We start from the raw sequence: 19,216 nt of genomic DNA, 5'->3' as shown, positions 1-19,216 counted from the left end.
TTAGAGGATATAATAAATATGAGGTCACTATCAGCCTTCATTCTTACACATTTTCTAAAATAGTTTAATAACTGTAGTGTAGATAATGTTATCTTCCTGGTAAGAAGTAATATCATTTCTTTTTTTTTTTTTTTTTTGAGATGGAGTGTCTCTGCCACCCAGGCTGGAGTGCAATGGTGCAGTCTCAGCTCACTGCAACCTCTGCCTCCCGGATTCAAGTGATTCTCCTGCCTCAGTCTCCCGAGTAGCTGGGATTACAGGCGCCCGCCACCACCCCCGGCTGATTTTTGTATTTTTAGTAGAGACGGGGTTTCACTACTTTGGCCAGGCTGGTCTCGAACTCTTGACCTCGTGATCCACCCGCCTCGGCCTCCCAAAGTGCTGGGATTACAGGCGTGAGCCACCGCGCCTGGCCTTGAAATAATATCATTTCTTATAACATAGTTTTGAATTCCCATTTCCTCCAGACTCCTGTAGGGTTTTTCTATAAGTGCTTTAAAATTTAGTACTCAGTATACCAGATTATGTTTTGGCTGTTGTGTCTGCTGCTCAGAGAATTTTAAGTATATGGAAGTTCCTTCTTGTCATTCTCACATTTTGCTTAATAGGAGTATTTTTCTGGAAAAGGATTTCTGACAATCAATACTTTTAAATGACTACATTCAGGAAAAATAAGGTGAAAATCATCTTATGTAGGATAGTGCTGGGAAAATGAATGGTGATTAATATTTGACTAGGCACACTTTTTCTGGTGTTCCTTATCAGTAAAGATATTTGCGTGTATGTGTATTAGCAGACGGTAAGGCTAAAGGCAGTTAGTTCATTGTCTTATTCCTGGTTCTGTTTTCTACATTCTCCCAACTAGAATGTCATTCATCCAACAAACAAATGATTATAATAAGTCAGTTTCGAGGGATATCTGATCAAGATGTTAAAATGGAATCCGCTTTCAAAGACATAGCCAGGGTCAAAAAGCAAGATCAACAACAGAATCTCAAAGCAGTATACAGGTCTGAAGCTAACAGGCCTGCTGGGCTCCAGTTACAAAAGTATCCCACAGGAGATGGAGAACCACAGCCAAGTTCATTGCTTGTGGTACCTGATAATCAGGCATGATGGTTTTTTTACCTACCTCCCCCATTAAAGGAAGAGATAATCCCTATCCTGTGCAAACTGTTTCAGACTACAGACAAGGAATTCTGAATAAATCAGTGTTTAATACTGATGCTAAAATCAAACAAGATTAGTACAGAAAACAAAAATTATAATCTTATGAAAATCATTTTTAAAAATCTAAATAAAATATTAGCAAATAGAATTACACATTATCAAATAGTAAACTATCCCAGGAAAGCAAGGATGGTTCAGCATCAGAAAATGTATTTATGTAATACACAATACCAAGTATTAAGAGAAAATCATGTAACTCTTCAGTAGATGCCCAAAAAGCATTCAGTAAAATCTGTCATTAATGATTTTTTTTAAATAATACTTCTTAGCAAATTGGGAATAGAAAGGAATGTCCTTCACCTAGCAAAGCCTGTTAAAAATATGTTTAATGATCAAATTAATTCCCATTAAAGTGGAGAACTAAATAAGGATGTTTGCTATTATCACATTTCATTATTGTCTATTAAATGAGAAAGGGAAAGTATGAGGATTAGAAAGAAAGATAAAAAGATCATTTTTTGCTGATGGTATGATTATGTACATAGAATATAAAACCCTATTAATAAGTTACTAGAGTTAGTAAGAGAATTCAGAGTTGCTGGATATGAGTAACACCAAAGAATAGCTTTCCTAAATAATCAGTGAAAAACTTAATTGGAAAAAAGATCCCTTTCACAAAGGCAATAAAGTAACATACATAAGAATAAATGAAATCCAAACATTTTTAAGATCATTATCTAGGAACCTCCAAATTATTTTTTTTTAAGACATAAAAGATTCAGCAAGTGAAGAACTACATCATGTCCATGGGTAGAAAGACTTAAATGAGAAAGATGCCAGTTCTTCAGTTAATCCACAGGTTCAGTGGATCTGCAGTAAGAATCCCAACATGATGTTTTGTGCCACTTGATAAGCTGCTCTTAAAATTCATATGGAATGGCCAGGCGCGGCGGCTCATGCCTGTAATCCCAACACTGTAGGAGGCTGAGGCAGGAGAATTGCTTGAGCCCAGGATTTCAAGACCAGCCTGGACAACATTGGGAGACCCCATCTCTACAAATAATTTTTTAAAGTAAAAAATAAATTTATATGGAAGAGCCAAAGACCAAGAATAAGAAAATAAATGTTGACAAATCGTTTTCTACCCAATATTGAAACTTACTATAAAGCCATAGTGATTAAGGTAGTGTGGTAACAACACAGGAATAAATAGGTAGAAGAGTGAGACAGAAGAAAAGGCCCAGAAATAGACCCACATGTAAATGGAAATTCGTGGCATTATGTATTAGTGGGGAAGAAATGGGCCATTCAACAAATGATGCTGGTACAATTGCTTACCTGCAGAAAACAAAATAAGATTTATTCCTCCCTGAATACATGCCAAAAAGTATATTAAAAATATAAATATAAAAAGCAAAACTAAATCTTGTTCTGTTTATGCCCTGTGCTTCAGTAATTCTATCTATGGGTGTCTACCCTCAAGAAAGATTTGTACATGTATTCAAGATGTACAAAAATGTTTATTGCAAAATTGTTTGTAATAATGCAAAACTAGAAATAACCTCAATGTTCATCTTACTGAATGTATGAAGGTTGGAAATATTCAATATAAAATTTATATTGATAGTATAAACTTATAGTAATAGTAAAAACATGCATGAGAATGATAAATACCAAATTTATAATAGTGGTTATCTCAGGGAGGAAGGAAAGACCAGAAATGGGAATAGGGCAGGGTACATAGGGGATGCCAGCTGTATTTGTTTTTATTTAAAGCAAAAATGGCAGAATGTTAGGATCTGATTGTTGGGTGGTGGATACACGTATATTTTTGTGCTGTTTTCTGTATTTTGCAGTATTTTATTTTTGAAAATTACCAAAACAGGCCGAACACAGTGGCTCATGGCTTTAACCCTGGCACTTTGGGAGGGCGAGGCAGGCAGATCACTTGAGGCCAGGAGTTTGAGACTAGCCTGGCCAACAAAGTAAAAACCCATTTCTACTAGAAATACAAAAAAACTATAACAAAAATATTTTCGGTGAATTTTTTCCTACCAAAAAGATGCATAAGCTCTGTATAGTATATTTTTAAACTTTTCAAATGTAAAGATGCCATATAAATATGGAATAGCTGACATTAGTTGTGAATTGAAATATTGCTGTATGAGATAGAGGGATGAAATGATGCTTATCAGTTGAACTTTTGTACTATTAACAGTAATTGAGCTGTTCTTGCCTGCTAGTGTGCCTACAAGACAGTGTGCTAGCTTTCTGGAAACATGGAATGCAAGGTAGAAGTTTTAGATCTAATGAGGTAAGTAAATTATGTCCATTAAGTAGTCACAAGACATTATCAAATTCCACTTCAAACAGTTCGATTCCTAAATGATACAAGTAATGCTTGATTGGCTAACTTTATTAATACTTACTGTATTTAGTCTATTGATAAAGTCAGTAGCCCATACTCTATGTCCACCTCTCTCTCTCTCCACTACTCAAACAACTTTAGTGCATATTTAATGTGCTTCCAGATAATCAGTCTGAAATTTAGAACAAGAACTTGCTAATCTGCTAAAAGTGAGCCAACTATGATTTTCTTTCAACTTTCCCAGAGGAACCCCAGGAGCAAGAGTGCTAGTGCTGGCTCTCTCTGGCCTTAAGCACCTTTTCTACCTTGTACTTCAGAAATAATGACCAGCGCAGACTATAAGTAAAGAGTCCTATATTTCTCTGGAAGCCCACTTACCTCTTTATTTTCAACATCCTTATTCATTTGACATGTATATAATTCTTTGCCCCCTTTACCTTTCCTTTTTATTAACCTTTAGCTATGCATCTCATGAATCCTTCCTACCTCACAGAAATAATTTAACTCCAAGCTGTGTGACATATTCAAGTCAGTTCAACATTTATGCCGGAAAGTTCTGAGGTTATAAACATGAACAAGATGTGGCACTTGCCCCCTAGAATGTTACAAGCACGTAAAATTGTCAGAAATTCTTCCAGTACCCCCAAGCCAATCTCAGTCATGTAACTTGGAAGGAAGCTTATTTGTTTCTTAAACTGTCATTCATTAAGCTCAGAGCGTTTATTTCTAACAAAGTAAGCAATATACCACAGTGTTCATGAGCCTGGGTTCCAGAGTTGAGACACTAGGCTTCAGGTCTCAAGTTCAGCTAGTTAGTAGCTGGGTGACCTTGGCATGTCACCTAACTTCTTTCTACCTATATTTTTTCATCTGTGAATTGAGTTGTTATGATTAAATGAAACAAAGCGTGTAATGTGCTTGGCCTGGTTCCTGACCTATAGTAAGTGTTTAAAAGGTAGCTGCTGGCCAGGCATGTTGGCTCACGCCTGTACACTCAGCACTTTGGGAGGCCGAGGCGGGCGGATCACAAGGTCAAGAGATCAAAACCAGCCTGGCCAACATGGTGAAACCTCGTCTGTACTAAAAATAGAAAAATTAGCCAGGCGTGGTGGCGCGTGCCTCTAGTCCCAGCTACTCGGGAGAGGCTGAGGCAGGAGAATCGCTTGAACCCAGGAGGCGGAGGTTCCAGTGAGCCAAGATCGCGTCACTGTACTCCAGCCTGGCGACAGAACAAGACTCCGTCCCCCTCCAAAAAAAAGGTGGCTGCTACGATGTTTCTAAAAGTAATCCCCACAAGTGGGCTCACACTTTCTAAAATCACGTGAGGAACTGAGCAGGGAGATAAGAACAGTCAACAGCTAATAAACACTAGTCAGAGAAAGAAAAGCATTACAGACAAATACAGAAGTGGTTTAAAAACTAAAAGGAAAAAGTTCACCCAAAAAGTCACCTGAGAACTACACAGGCAGCCCATCAATACACACCTCCAAAAATGTTAGCTTCTTCTAGTAGGCAAACCCCAAAATATATTGGTAATCACAGTCATGATGAGCCACAGGCATTGAAGTGAGCATGCTGAGCATGTTGTTTCCTGCAGGTATGCTGGGTTACAACAGAAGCTAAGAGTCATTAGTGTTTCTAGAAAATCTAATTGTAGGGGTATTGATGGAATAAATTTAATTTCAAATCCATTTTTTCTTCAGCCTACCAAATTTTGGGGAGATGCTAACTGCCCTTCTAATTCATAATATTTTGTGTTCAGTAAGCTGTGAATAGTTGGTTTCTCTTTTTCTTGTATATTTATTCTTAATTCCCCAACTGGTAGTTGGTCACACTGAGGACTTCTTGAAGGATATATGGTCATTAGAAAATATTATTTCAAGAGAATGGGGAAGAAGTGGGAAAGATAATTATTATGTATTGAGCACTTCCTTAGCTAGGCATTATACCCACTAATCCTTATAAGAACACTGCAGGGCTCTACTGCATGGTAGATCTTTTCTATCCCATCTTGCATAAGGCAAAACCATTTCTAGCGGATTACATACGTTGCCCAGTAAGTGGGAGAACTGACAGTCAAACTCAAGGCATGTCTGCCTTTTAAATATTTCCTGTTACACTACGTGGCAGCCTTTTTAAGTAAAAGAAGCAGATCTAAGTAGCTTACTGCTGCCAGTAACCTTGCCATTAGCGTTAACATAAATGATGAAAGTTTCTAATAAATAAAATGGATTTAGTGCTTTGCTTTTAAGTTTTTCCCTTGAAGTCTTATGATTTAACAAGGAAATCATTTTCCTTTGCCTGCATTTTATGATTAACTCAAAATTAACCACATTTCCCCTCGACTAACAAATTGATGTATCTACATGCTGACTTTAACAAACAGTCATGCAGGAATATGTTTTCATTTTTAGCGATCATGTTTCTTTTCTGTTGAATTATAATGAAGTGCCCATTAAAAATTTTGTGTCTTTAATTTCAGAAATTAAATTTGTGTTTTAATTGAACAGGTAACACAAGAAATTTCAGATAGCACAAGAATTTTCAGGCTGCTTGGATCTGACAGGTATGAAAACGGACTGTATTAAATACACAGTACTAAACGTGTTTTATAGATCCAGCATGAAACAGATTTCTTTTTCAAGAGAATTGAAATGTCTGCAATATGTTCAACATTGAATTTTTCACACTATAAGAATTCACAGGTCAGAAAGTTAGCCTTTGAAAATGTACCTGATCTTCCAAGTAACAGGAATGTATGGATCTGTCAGTACTAGTTTCCATTAAACATACTGACATCTGATTTGCAGCAGAAGAAAGAGGAAATACCATATGTTAATGAACAGAACTTTGTGTTGTTAATGCCGATAGGATTTTGGAGACCTGTTCTGATTGACTGTAAGACATTGGTCAGGGTGGTGGGAGAGATTATAAAGTTATAGGAAATAGACACAAACCTTCTTGGAAGGCCAGAAGGTTTGCATAGCTTCAGTAAAAGATTTGGCTGAAGGCAGCTGAATTCTCTTAAAAGCTTAGGGCATAGATACATAGGAATGTAGAGGAGTTTATCTAAATAGCTTGTTTACTCATGTTGTCCTAAAACCAACCTTTGATCATGCGGGCAGGACTGCTCTTTCCTGGGGAGGGCAACCTGATAAATTACCCACAAGTAGGTTGACTCAAAGCCTTTGTCATTAAATCTGTGCTGAATAAATGCCTGCAGGGACAGCTAGTCAGGGCACACGGCCACTACAACTCTTTCTGTGAGCGCCCTGGCCCCCTAGCCAGTCTTTCACTGAATACCAGTGTCTGGGTACGTTATTCATCCATTGTGCAGCGTGGGTCTCTGGGTCAGACCCTGGCAATTTAGCTTCTGGTTCTTGAACTGCAAATCGTTTTTAGAACTTGTAATAAGAATTAAGTTCCCCCAAATAATTTCTAATATAGGTTTCTCCCCACTTCTGACTCTTAGAAGAACACTGGCCTAGAGGTGGGAGGTAGTGGACAGCAAAATTACTTCCCAGAGCTAGAACTGGCCCTGTAATCACAGTGATAGCAAATGATTTCTGCCCACGATCAAATGAGCAGCATTTATAGAGGCACATATTGGAGAAGCAATGGAAAATTTGGGAGCTAACATTAATTTTCAGGAATAACTTTGTTTTGTTATATGTTTTTTATTACTTTCAGGGTCGTGGTTTTGGAAAGTAGGCCAACTGATAACCCCACAGCAAATAGCAATTTGTACATCCTGGCGGGTCATGAAAACAGTTACTGAGAATTGTTGTGCTTTGACAGTTAACTCTAGAAAGAAAGAACACTACCACTGCAACATTAATGGATGCTTGAAGCTGTACAAAAGCTGCAGTAACCTGTCTTCAGTTACTTTGTAATTTATTGTGGCATGAGATAAGATGGGGAAAATTTTGTTTTAAGTGGTATGGATATATTTAGCATATTGAACCACACAAGTGCTTAATTCATTGTTATGTAATCTTTGTACATATAGGCAGTATTTTTTCTGTGAAACTTCATATTGCTGAAGACATACACTAAGAATTTATGTAGATAATGTACTTTTATGAGATGTACAAGTAAGTGTCTTATCTGTACAGATGTAAATGTTGATGAAAATGCAATTGGGGTTAATATTTTAAGAATTCTTTAGTATATTCTTGGGTGTGGCTATATTACAAAATGGGATGCTGGCAATGAAACAATACATTTAACACTATTGTATTTTTATTATATGTAATTTAGTAATATGAATATAAATCTTGTAACTTTTAAAATTGTAATGGAGGCTGTAATCATTTTATAATCTTTTTAATTTTAATGCAAGTACACTGGTGTTTATATTTGCACAAAGTATTGATATGTGATGTATTAAGTCACAAAAGTAAGCTGTGACATTGTCTATAAGCATTTGGCTCCACAAATGTATTTGGATTGTTTTCTATGTGAAGCAAACCAATTATAATTAACCACATGTTGTAGTAACTGGTCTTTTTATATTTAAGCAGAATCCTGTAAGATTGCTTGTCTTTGCTTAAAAACAATACCTTTGAACATTTTTGAATCACAGAATAGCGGTACCATGATAGAATACTGCAATTGTGGTCAGAATTACAGTATGCACAAAGAATTAATTAGCATTATTAAAGAGTCCTCACTAAACATTTCATATGATCACACTGAAGAACTGTAACATTCCATAGAGTGAAGTGGTTCAAATTTCTCTTGGAATTTTTACTTTTGTTGGCCTTATTTTATGATCCTTTTCATATTTCTTTTGACTTAGAGTATTAATACATGGCCAAAATAATTTAGTTACTACCTCATACAAACAATATAATGGTTACTACACATCACAGGAACTTAGTTTTGGTTTAAGTCATTTTTGATTGCTTTTTTCCAATGGAATATGTATATACCAGGTTTTAGCAAAATGCACACTTTTGGCTCTTTTTGGTATATGTTCTTTATATTTTAATGTGAGTATATACACTAAGAACAAACTAAATTGTGATTTATGATCTTCATTTATTTTAATGATAATGGTTTTAAAATATGTTCCTGATTGTACATATTGTAAAATAAACATGTTTTTTAACATGCTGTTGTATAGTAGCTTGTCATCTGGTTTAATCTGTATATAGTAACACTAAAATATATTAAGAGGGGAAAGCTTTATTTGTTTTGTAGTTAAATTCTTAAGTATTGAATTTTGGTCCCTCAAATCATGATTTTTATTTGATATGGGGTTTCAGTTTCATGAAGCATTAATATTTCCACACAGGAGAAAAGGGCATCTTTTGCAGAAACTTCGACTTCCTGATAAGAAAAGTCAAACATTCATAGTTTTCTGGTTAGAGGCAGGGGTCCACAAACTACAGTCCTCAGACCAATCCAGCCTACTGCCTGTTCTTGTAAATAAAGTTTTAATGGAGCACAACACCACGTATTCACTCACATGCTGTCTATGCTGCTTTGGTGCTACAATATTTGAGTTGAGTGGCTTCTGAAACACTATATGGTCTGAAAAGCCTAAAATTCTTACTTTGCTGACCCTTTACAGAAAAAATGTGCTAGTGCCTGGGTTAGAGAAAGTAAGGAAGCATTGGGAAATGCAGTTCTGGAGGTAAGGAAGGGGAAGATTAAGAGGGAAGAACTGGATTGGGGATCAAGAGAGGCACCATTTCCATATTGCTTATGCCACTACGTGTCACAATGGCCTTGAATAATTTAACAGTTTCCACATCTAAAATCGTACAGATGCTAATAACCATAACAACTGAGTTCATTTATCACTTTTCCCACATTGGGAATAATCCTATCATTAGTGACTAATGACTATGTTTTTTCACACATCTTTGTCAGTATAACATTATCAATTTGCTGCAAAACAGAGACTGTTGGAAAAGATTTTTAAGTGAAGATTTTTAAGTGATCAAGATTCTGTTCTTGGCTCTTACTGACAGGTTGTTTAGTTTATCCTTTTTCTGAACCACTTTTTTTTCAGTTTTTAAGACTTACATAAAGGGTCATATCTCAAAAAACGTTAGTCATCACATTTAGCTGTTAAACACTTAGAAACATTTTCAAAAAATAAAATACATAACTGGTTGTGTATTACCCAGGAGCTTTCTAAGATATATCTGGAGTCATAATCTTGAGGGCTGAGGCTCAGTAACCTATATTTTTATAAAGTTGTACAAATGATTCTGATGTGCATCGCAACATGAAACCACTGGTGGGCACTAAATTTAAATCAGTGCTTCTGAGTGTGTCCAAGTGTGCCTCAGAATCATCTTTGGTAATACTTAAAAGTGCAAATTTCTAGATTCCACCCAGGAATTTTTGATTATGGATCTTTACATACACAAAAGGAAGACAGCCACTCACTTAAATGTTGGAAACAATCTATTTCATCTTTATTGAAGTTAAAGCGATCTTATTAGCTAATTGCATAGACACTGGTTTTGAGGAGAATGAGATCAACCGGTTATGGGCCTAATGGCATCATTCAGCTTGCACATGTGACTCTGATTTCAGTAGAGACCAGGAAACAAAAGGACAGATGCTATTAGTTTTCACCATTACTGGCGGAGAGGTGAAAGTGTGTGCTATACAAAATAATGGGTAAACACTAAGAGAGCATATAATACATTCCCAGTTCACGTATGTGTGTGCCAGGTACTCATCTGCATGCTTTATATAGTCCCACTTAAGCCCCAGAACACCCCTGTGAGGTATTATTAACTCTGTTTTACAGATGAAGAAACAGGCACAGAAAGTTTTAGCAGCTTGCCCAGAACTATAGCGGGTAAATAATACAGCAAAATTTGAACCTCGGCACTTGATTCAAAGTGTATTCTCTTAACCACTGTGCAAGACTATTACATAAAATACATGCAGTATATCCACTGCCCACTAAAACAGACTCTCTCATTCTTTCCTCTAAAATTAGATTTTTTTTCTCCAGGTGTTGGATTTCAGATTTTTATTTTCACTGTTTCTGCACAAGAGATACTAACTTCTGTCTTAATTTTTTGCTTTACCGAAAGGCATTTTTCTTATCTAAATTTGGTATAAAGATAAAAGGATTTACATAAAATTTACAGTCAAAGTATATTAAATAAGTAGTCAAAAGTCATTATAACAAAGACTTTTTTAACTTTTGTGAGACAATTACTTATACAACATATAGTGATTATTTACACTGTAGCCAAGGCACTTTACTAGCACTGGAGAAGAGATGGAAAAGGTTTAATTCCCAACCAGTATTCATCCAAGGAGCACACTTGGATGAATAAAGGCAAACGGAAGTAAGTAGTATTAAAACAAGGTACAGGCCCAGTGTGATGGCTCAAATCTCTAATCCCAACACTGGGAGGCTGAGGTGGGAGAATCACTTGAGCCTAGGAGTTCAAGATCAGCCTGAGTTACATAGCAAGTCTCCTTCTCTACAAAAAATGAAATTAGCCAAGTATAATGGCACATGCCTATAGTCCCAGCTACTGGGGAGGGAGGCTGAGGCAAGAGAATCACTTGAGCCCAAGAGTTTGAGGCTGCAATGAGCTATGATTGTGACACTGCACTTTAGCCTAGGCAACAGAGTGAGCCTCTGTTTCCAAAAAAAAAAAGGTACAAGAGGTTGTGCCTAATTCTGCTTTGTGTAGTAAGATTTGTAAACCAGGTTGTTGATAGATGAAGAGAAATTTACCATATGCAGTAAGAAAGCAAGGTAGGAACCTGTAGCCTAGACCAAGGCATATGCAAATACTGCATGTTCAAGAAATAGTGACATTGAATTGAATGAACCAGAGTTTCGGGTGCCTGAAGCAGAGTAATAGGGCAGGAAGCTGCATAAAAAGATGGGCCTGGTTGTGAAGAGCCTCCTTATGAGAGAAGCAGCTAGGAATCAACAGTTTCAGAAACTGGAGAGCAAGTATCATGAAGATATAAATGGGTTGATGGATTTGTACATAAGGTGATACTTGTATACTTAATGAGAAATTTTTCTATAGCATGATAGATGGTGGAAATTATATAGGAATTGGATAGATGTGAATTTTATGAGTATTTGACTTTAGTGGAAGTGTATTTGGTCTCAAAAGAGGAAGGAGATAAAGGTTTTTGTTTTGATTTTGTTTGTTAAAGATGGGAGATTTCAGCATGTATCTAAGCAAATGAAAGAAGTGGAAAAGAAATGAGATGGATGAGAAAAGGAGAAGAGAGTCACCTGTTTAGGGAAGTATGGAGATGCTAAACCTGGCCATGATCACGGGGAGCATTTTGCTAATGCTGAAACAAAGTACGTGTGTGCTTATTAACATATAGCATTTCTAAGTTAGTCCTGGGAATAAAATGGGTAAGCTCTAGCCAAAATTCTCTTTCCCAAGTAATACATTATCTCCACAGAGCATTCATTACATTATTTGTTTCATTGACTTTCTTCCCTAATGGGTGTCAAACCTGTGTCTGATTCTTAGGCCTCAGGTACTAGTACAATGCTAGGTGAATTAGGAAAATGGCCTCTGATCCATAGCTGCTTTTCACGCAAAAACCTACAGAAGTCTGCTGAAAAGGTATTTGGATAATTAAACAAGACCGAAAAGTAATGACTAATGACAGAGAATCTTGCAAACTGAAGGTCTCTGCCCAGGCAGGGAAACGAACTAATCAATATTCAACAGTTACGTGTGCTGTTTTTCAGTGCTCTCGATGCCTTGGGAAAGAAGGGGACATGGTGTAATCACAGTATTAAGGGGAAAGTGGTTGAAATGTTTCCTGAGCGCTCTCATTCAACTTTTGCTCCGTTCACAGCCTGATGCTACAGGCTCGGCCCCGAGGTTATACCCACCAAGAGGAAGTATGTCCGGAATTGGTGGGTTCTTGCAGTCACTGACTTCAAGAATGAAGCCGCGGACCCTCGCGGTGAGTGTTACAGCTCTTAAGCTGGCGCGTCTGGAGTTTGTTCCTTCTGATGTTCAGATGTGTTCGGGGTTTCTTCCTTCTGGTGGGTTCGTGGTCTCGCTGGCTCAGGAGTGAAGCTGCAGACCTTGCGGTGAGTGTTACAGCTCTTAAGGCAGCGCGTCTGGAGTTGTTCCTTCCTCCCGGTGAACTCGTGGTGTCGCTGGCTTCAAGAGTGAAGCTGCAGATCTTCGCGGTGAGTGTTACAACTCATAAAAGCGGCGTGGACCCAGAGTGAGCAGTAGCAAGATTTGTTGCAAAGAGCGAAAGAACAAAGCTTCCACAGTGTGGAAAGGAACCCGAGTGTGTTGCCACTGCTCGCTCGTGCAGCCGGCTTTTATTCTCTTATTTGGTCCCACCCACGACCTGCTGATTGGTAGAACCCAGTGGTCTGTTTTGACAGGGTGCTGACTGGTGTGTTTACAATCCCTGAGCTAGACATAAAGGTTTTCCACGTCCCCATCAGATCAGTTAGATACAGAGTAGCGACACAAAGGTTCTCCAAGGCCCCACCAGAGCAGCTAGATACAGAGTGTCGACTGGTGCATTCACAAACCCTGAGCTAGACACAGGGTGCTGATTGGTGTGTTTACAAACCTTGAGTTAGATACAGAGTGCCGATTGGTGTATTTACAATCCCTGAGCTAGACATAAATGTTCTCCACGTCCCCACCAGACTCAGGAGCCCAGCTGGCTTCAACAAGTGGATCCCGCACAGGGGCTGCAGGTGGAGCTGCCTGCCAGTCCCGCGCCGTTCGCTCGCACTCCTCAGCCCTTGGGTGGTCGATGGGACTGGGCGCCGTGGAGCAGGGGGTGGCACTCGTCGGGAAGGTTCCGGCCGCACAGGAACCCATGGAGGGGGTGGGAGGCTCAGGTATGGCGGGCTGCAGGTCCCAAGCCCTGCCCCGCAGGAAGGCAGCTAAGGCCCAGTGAGAAATCGAGCGCAGCGCCGGTGGGCTGGCACTGCTGGGGGACCCATTACACCTTCTGCAGCCGCTGGCCCGGGTGCTAAGTCCCTCATTGCCCGGGGTCGGCAGAGCCGGCGGGCTGCTCAGAGTGCGGGGCCCGCCAAGCCCACGCCCACCCGGAACTCCAGCTGGCCCGCAAGCGCCGTGCGCAGCCCCGGTTCCCGCTCGCGCCTCTCCCTCCACAGCTCCCTGCAAGCTGAGGGAGTGGGCTCCGGCCTTGGCCAGCCCAGAAAGGGGCTCCCACAGTGCAGCGGTGGGCTGAAGGGCTCCTCAAGTGCCGCCAAAGTGGGAGCCCAGGCATAGGAGGCGTCGAGACCGAGCGAGGGCTGTGAGGACTGCCAGCACGCTGTCACCTCTCAGAAGGATCAGGGCTGGGGCTGCCAGCGCCAGGGGAACCCGCTCCGGAAGCCGCAGTGCCCCGCGCGCCCTAGCGTTCCGGTTGCCCGGGAGACGCTGCGGCGGTTCCGCTGGCTCCGAAGTCGCTGGGTACACGGCGCCTCCTCCGAGCGACACGCGCGGGAGCTGGGGCTGGGGCTGTTCGGCGCTGCTCGAAGCTTCGTCACCGTCGCCCTGTGGGTGCAGTAAGTGCGGATTCTGCCGGTGGCGGGGGAACTGCGGGCAGCGTGCGGGGTTGATGGGGTGAGCCGCGAGGTCTAGACTGCGGATCCCAGTTGCAGGAACCAAGAAAAGTTCCCCGAAAGAAAAGCGGGACCGCCTTCCGCTTCGGTGGCCCCTGGAAGGGAAGGGGCGGATTCGAGGTGGCAGCACTGACCCGGTGAGGGTCCCTCGGGGCGGAAATGGTGCTGCCCAGGGAGTGGGCGGCGGCGGGGGCCGAGGAGCGCGCAAGGCGGAGGCCTACCTATGGCCGAGAAAGAGAACTGTCATTAAATGAAGAAGGCTGAAGACCAGAGGCCTGGAAATAAAGTGGATTTGTGCTTGACTTGCAGATCTGTTATGTGCACACACGAAATGTGATATATTTAAACAAAATTACTTTATCGGATTTTGTATAATTATGTGGTATTCTGGTTTTCTGGGGATGCTTTTAATTAGTCTGATTGTATTGTCAACTGGACAGGTTTATAAACAGGTGTGTGTACTTTTGAAATTCAATAATTCACTGTTATGTTGATAAAACAATGATTTAATGGCCCATTTGACTAATTAGTTTTATTAAATATAAATTCATGTTTGGTTTGGTTGAAAACAATAACAACATAGGAGGTTGTGACTTTACCAGCCTGTGGATTCCCTAACTGATATGGCCTGATCTTCAAAATCTCTTTTTCCTCGTCATTCCTTTTTTTTTTTTTTTTTTTTTTTTTTTTTTTTTTTTTTGAGACAGGGTCTCACTTTGTTCCCCAGGCTTGGGGGCGGTGGCGCCACCTTGGCTCGCTGACCTCCCAGGTTCAGCAACCTTGACCTCCCAGGTTCAGCGATCCTCTTGCCTCAGCCCCACAAGTAGCTGGGACTACAGAGGCAGGACACCACGCCCAGCAACTTTTTTTGTATTTTTAGAAGAAATGGGGTTTCACCACATTGGCCAGGCTGGTCTCCAACTCCTGGCTTCAAGTGCTCCACCCGCCTCAACCTCCCAAAGTGCTGGGATTACAGGTGTGAGCCACCACGCCCGGCCATCCGCATCATTCCTAATGCCACTGTTTACATGAGTTTCCTAAAGCTCCTAGATTAGAAAATGTGTTTTTTCACTCTTCTTTTTTTCTACCTCTCCCTTTCTTGATTTTTGTTTTCCTTCTTTCATTGTATTCCTTAGGCTGGCTTGAGTTCTCAGGACTTGATTTGTGATACAATCATGGAAAATAACCTACCTCCAAGTCTATTCTGTTTCTGTGTACATCATTTTGCAAACCCTTGAGACTAAGGAAATTAAATAGAAATTTTCAAAGAATTTAGTGAGCCACTCAAGTATCTATCTACCTCTTTTGATAATCATAAGTGGGCTCAGTTCTATACCTATCTGCCTTTGTACACAGAACTTTAACTTGAGAGTCAAATATTTGGTAAATTCTGAAGTCAGGAAGCCCTGTAGCCAAAAAGTATAAAGCTTCAGTTTGAAGGTCAAAGATGACTATGAAAAATAATTTCGCCAGGCATGGGTGGCTCATGCCAGTAACTGCTGCACTTTGGGAGGCCAAAATGGGAGAATCACTTGATCCCAGGAATTCAGGATCAGCCTAGGCCACATAATGAGACCCCACCTCTACAAAAAATACAAACATTAGCTAGGCATGGTGGCACATGCCTGTAGTCTCAGCTACTCAAGAGGCTGAGGCAGGAGAATTGCTCAAGCCCAGCAGGTACAGGCTGCAGTGAGCCCTGATCGTGCCACTGCACTCCAGCCTGAGTGACAGAGCGAGACCCTGTCTCAGTTAAAAAAAAAAAAAAAGGAAAAAGAAAAAGAAAACTATTTTCAACCAACTGAATCTACTTTCTGCCAATAGCTATATCACCATTTAATCTTGATTTCTTGTCCAAGTACTGTATTAATAATCAAAATGTACTTATTGCCTTTGCTTTAAAAAGTAAGTCATTTTACATATTTAATAGAAAGGTTAGAAAAATAACATTACGGTAGGGCCACAGCGGAGGTCCACTATGTGCCAGACAATAGGCTAACAATAGAAGGCAATGTGATAATGTTTTTGAAAGGGTGAAAGGAAGTCGTTAACATAGCATGCGAGCAGAGAAAGAACCTGCTTTTGGGGATTGGGAGAAGCTAAGCAGAAAGACATTTGACTTGAACTTGAAAAAGATGAAGATTTAAGGGTCAGACATTCCAGGCAGGGGTATGAAGGGAGACTTAGAGACCTGAAAGTGTTTGGGGAAGAATCTGAGAAGTGATGCTGGCAAGGTAAATTGGGGCCACGGCGTACAGAACTGTAAATATCATACTACAGTTTGAACTTTATTCTGTGGCATTTGAGGCCATAAGACATTTCTGAGAAAGGATGATATCTCATCCTGTTGATGTTTGAGAAAGATGTCTTTGGTGTAATAAAAGTAAATATAAAGAAGAAAAGTGAGATAACACACTTTAAAATAACTACTTTGATATAATAATTTCAAGCTGGCAATAAGAGTGTAATAAACTCATATATCTGGACTCACTGTTTACGTTTTGCTCAATTTTTATGTTGTTTATCGTTTTCTTTTTAGTGTGTATATAACACATGCATATTAATTTTTCTGTACCATTTGAGAGTAAGTTGCAGACATCAGATCCCTTCACCCGTAAATACTTCAGTGTATTCCCAAGAACTAGGACATTTTCTTATATAATCACAGTACAAATTACCAAAATCAGGAAACTGATATCAAATCTGCAGTCGAAATTTAGATTTTGCCAATTATCTTAGAAGTATCCTTTATGGTCATGTTGTTCACCAGTCCAGGATCCAGTTCAGGATCACACGTCGCATTTTGTTTTTCCATCTCTCTAGTCTTCAATCTGGAACAGTGCTTTGATCTTTTCTTTCATGACGTTGACATTCTTTATTAAGAGTACAGGCCGGTTATTCGTAGAATGCCCTTCAGTTTGGCCATGTCTATTGTTAACTCATAATTAGATTTAGATTTTGCATTTTTGCCAAGAATACCACAGAGGAGATGTGCCCTTCTCACTTGCACATTTGTCTTTTCTAGAAATTTCCTGTAATGGAATTATAAAATATGTAGGATTTTGTGTCTGTCTTCTCTCACTTAGCATTATGTTTTGGGGCATGTGGTTCTTTTTTCTTTTTTTTTTTTTTTTTTAATGTTCATCTACATTATAGCAAGTTCATTCCTTTTTGTTGCTGAATAGTATTTCGTTGCATGGATAATCCACATTTTGTTTACACATTCATCAGTTGATGAACATTTGGATTGTTTTCCATATAGGGACCTCTTCTGAATAATGGTGCTGTGAACATTTGCTTACATGTCATTGTTAGATCTATTTTAAAATTTTTCCTGGATAGATACTGAGGAGTGAAATTGCTGTTTATGGTTAATTTTTTTTTTTTTTTTTTGAGACGAAGTCTCGCTCTTGTCCCCTAGTCTGGAGTGCAATGGCACAATCTCGGCTCACTGCAACCTCTGCCTCCTGGGTTCAAGCAATTCTCCTGCCTCCCGAGTACCTGGGATTACAGGTGCATACCACCACACCCAGCTGATTTATTTTATTTTATTTTATTTTATTTTAAGTAGAGACGGGGTGTCACCATGTTGGCCAGGCTGGTCTCGAACTCCTGACCTCAGGTGATTCGCCTGTCTCGGCCTCCCAAAGTGCTGGGATTACAGGCGTGAGCCACCACGCCTGGCGGTTAATTTTTAAGTTAAATTTGTGTTTAACTTTTTTTTGAGACAGAGTCTCACTCTGTCACCCAGGCTGGAGTGCAGTGGCACAATCTCAGCTCACTGCAACCTCCGCCTCCCAGGTTCAAGCAATTCTCCTGCCTCAGCCTCCCAAGTAGCTGGGATTACAAGTGTGCGCCACCATGCCTGGCTACTTTTTGTATTTTTAGTAGAGACAGGGTTTCACCATGTTGGCCAGGCTGGTCTTGAACTCCTGAGCTCAAGTGATCCACCTGCCTCAGCCTCCCAAAGTGTTGGGATTACAGGCGTGAGCCACCATGCCTGGCCCTATGTTTAACTTTTAAGACATTGCCAAACTGTTTTCCAATGGAGCTGTGCTGCTTTACATCCTCACCAGTGATTTGTGTGAGTTCCAGTTTCCATCTTATCAACACTTGATATTGTCAGTCTTTGGATTTTAGTCATTCTAATGTGTATGTAATGCTATCTTATTGCAATTTTAATTAACACTTCCCTAATGGCTAACAGCATCCTTTCATGTGCTTAGTAGACATTTGTGTATCTTTGGTAAAATGTCTATTCACATCTTTTGTCCATTTTTAAATTGGGTTGTTTAACCTCCTATTGAGTTGTAAGCATGCTCTCTATGTATTCTGGATACAAATATTTTATCAGATATAAGATTTGCTAATATTTTTCTTTAGTCTGTGGCTTAGCTTTTCATTTTCTTAATGGGGAAATTTTTTGAGGAGCAAAAGATTTTAATGTTGATAAATTCCATTTTATCTATTTTTTCTTTTATGAATCATGCTTATGGTGTCATATCTAAGAAATCTGCATAACTGAAAGTCACAAAGATTTTTCTCCTCTTTTTTTTTTTCTAGAAGTTATACAGTTTTAATGCTTACATTTTGGTCTTTGTCCATTTTGAGTTAATTTTGCTATATTGTGTGAGGTGTCTGTCTACTGTGTGTGTTTGTTGTTTGTTTTGCATATGGATATCCAATGGTCCTAGTATCATTTGTTGAAAAGACTATTCTTTCCTTGTCGAATTGCTGCAGCAACTTTGTCAAAAGTCAGTTGGGCCAGGCGCAGTGGCTCACTCTTGTAATCCCAACACTTTTGGAGGCCACAGCAGGCAGATCACTTGAGGTCAGGAGTTCAAGATCAGCCTGGCCAACATGGTGAAACCCCATCTTTACTGAAAATACAAAAATTAGCTGGGCATGGTGGCACATGCCTGTAATCCCAGCTACTTGGGAGACTGAGGCAGGAGAATCACTTGAACCCAGGAGACGGAGGTTGCAGTGAGCCAAGATTACACCACTGCACTCCAGCCTGGGTGACAGAGTGAGACTCTATCTTAAACAATAAAATAAAAATAAAATAAAATTTTAAAAGTCAATTGACCATAAAT

The 19,216-nt window shown here is 39.8% G+C and overlaps 2 protein-coding genes across 18 annotated transcripts in view; both read left to right on the top strand.

Moving 5' to 3' along the window:
- Nucleotides 1–8,668, top strand: part of MAP4K3 (mitogen-activated protein kinase kinase kinase kinase 3) — a 188,020-nt gene extending 179,352 nt beyond the window's left edge. For 5 of the 6 annotated variants that reach the window (NM_001410753.1, XM_047446092.1, NM_001270425.2 and 2 more), the window contains 3 exons: nt 3,414–3,484; nt 6,049–6,104; nt 7,229–8,668. In NM_001410753.1, coding sequence (NP_001397682.1) covers nt 3,414–3,484; nt 6,049–6,104; nt 7,229–7,316 — 215 coding nt within the window. In that variant the 3' untranslated portion in view covers nt 7,317–8,668. Of the gene's footprint in view, nt 1–3,388; nt 3,485–6,048; nt 6,110–7,228 lie in introns of those variants that run through there. The other variant, XM_047446091.1, reaches the window with a different exon arrangement.
- CDKL4 (cyclin dependent kinase like 4) overlaps nt 10,814–19,216 on the top strand; it is a 79,150-nt gene continuing 70,747 nt past the window's right edge. For 6 of the 12 annotated variants that reach the window (XR_001738736.2, XM_011532817.3, XM_011532815.4 and 3 more), the window contains exon 1: nt 10,814–12,478. The gene's annotated coding sequence lies outside the window, so the exon portion shown is untranslated. The other 6 variants (NR_144521.2, XR_007073748.1, NM_001397900.1 and 3 more) reach the window with 3 other exon arrangements.

Source organism: Homo sapiens, chromosome 2 (genome assembly GCF_000001405.40).
Source record: "Homo sapiens chromosome 2, GRCh38.p14 Primary Assembly".
NCBI lineage: Eukaryota > Metazoa > Chordata > Mammalia > Primates > Hominidae > Homo > Homo sapiens.
The sequence above is the reverse complement of the archived record's forward strand: the minus strand, read 5'-3'. Positions and strand labels throughout refer to the sequence as shown.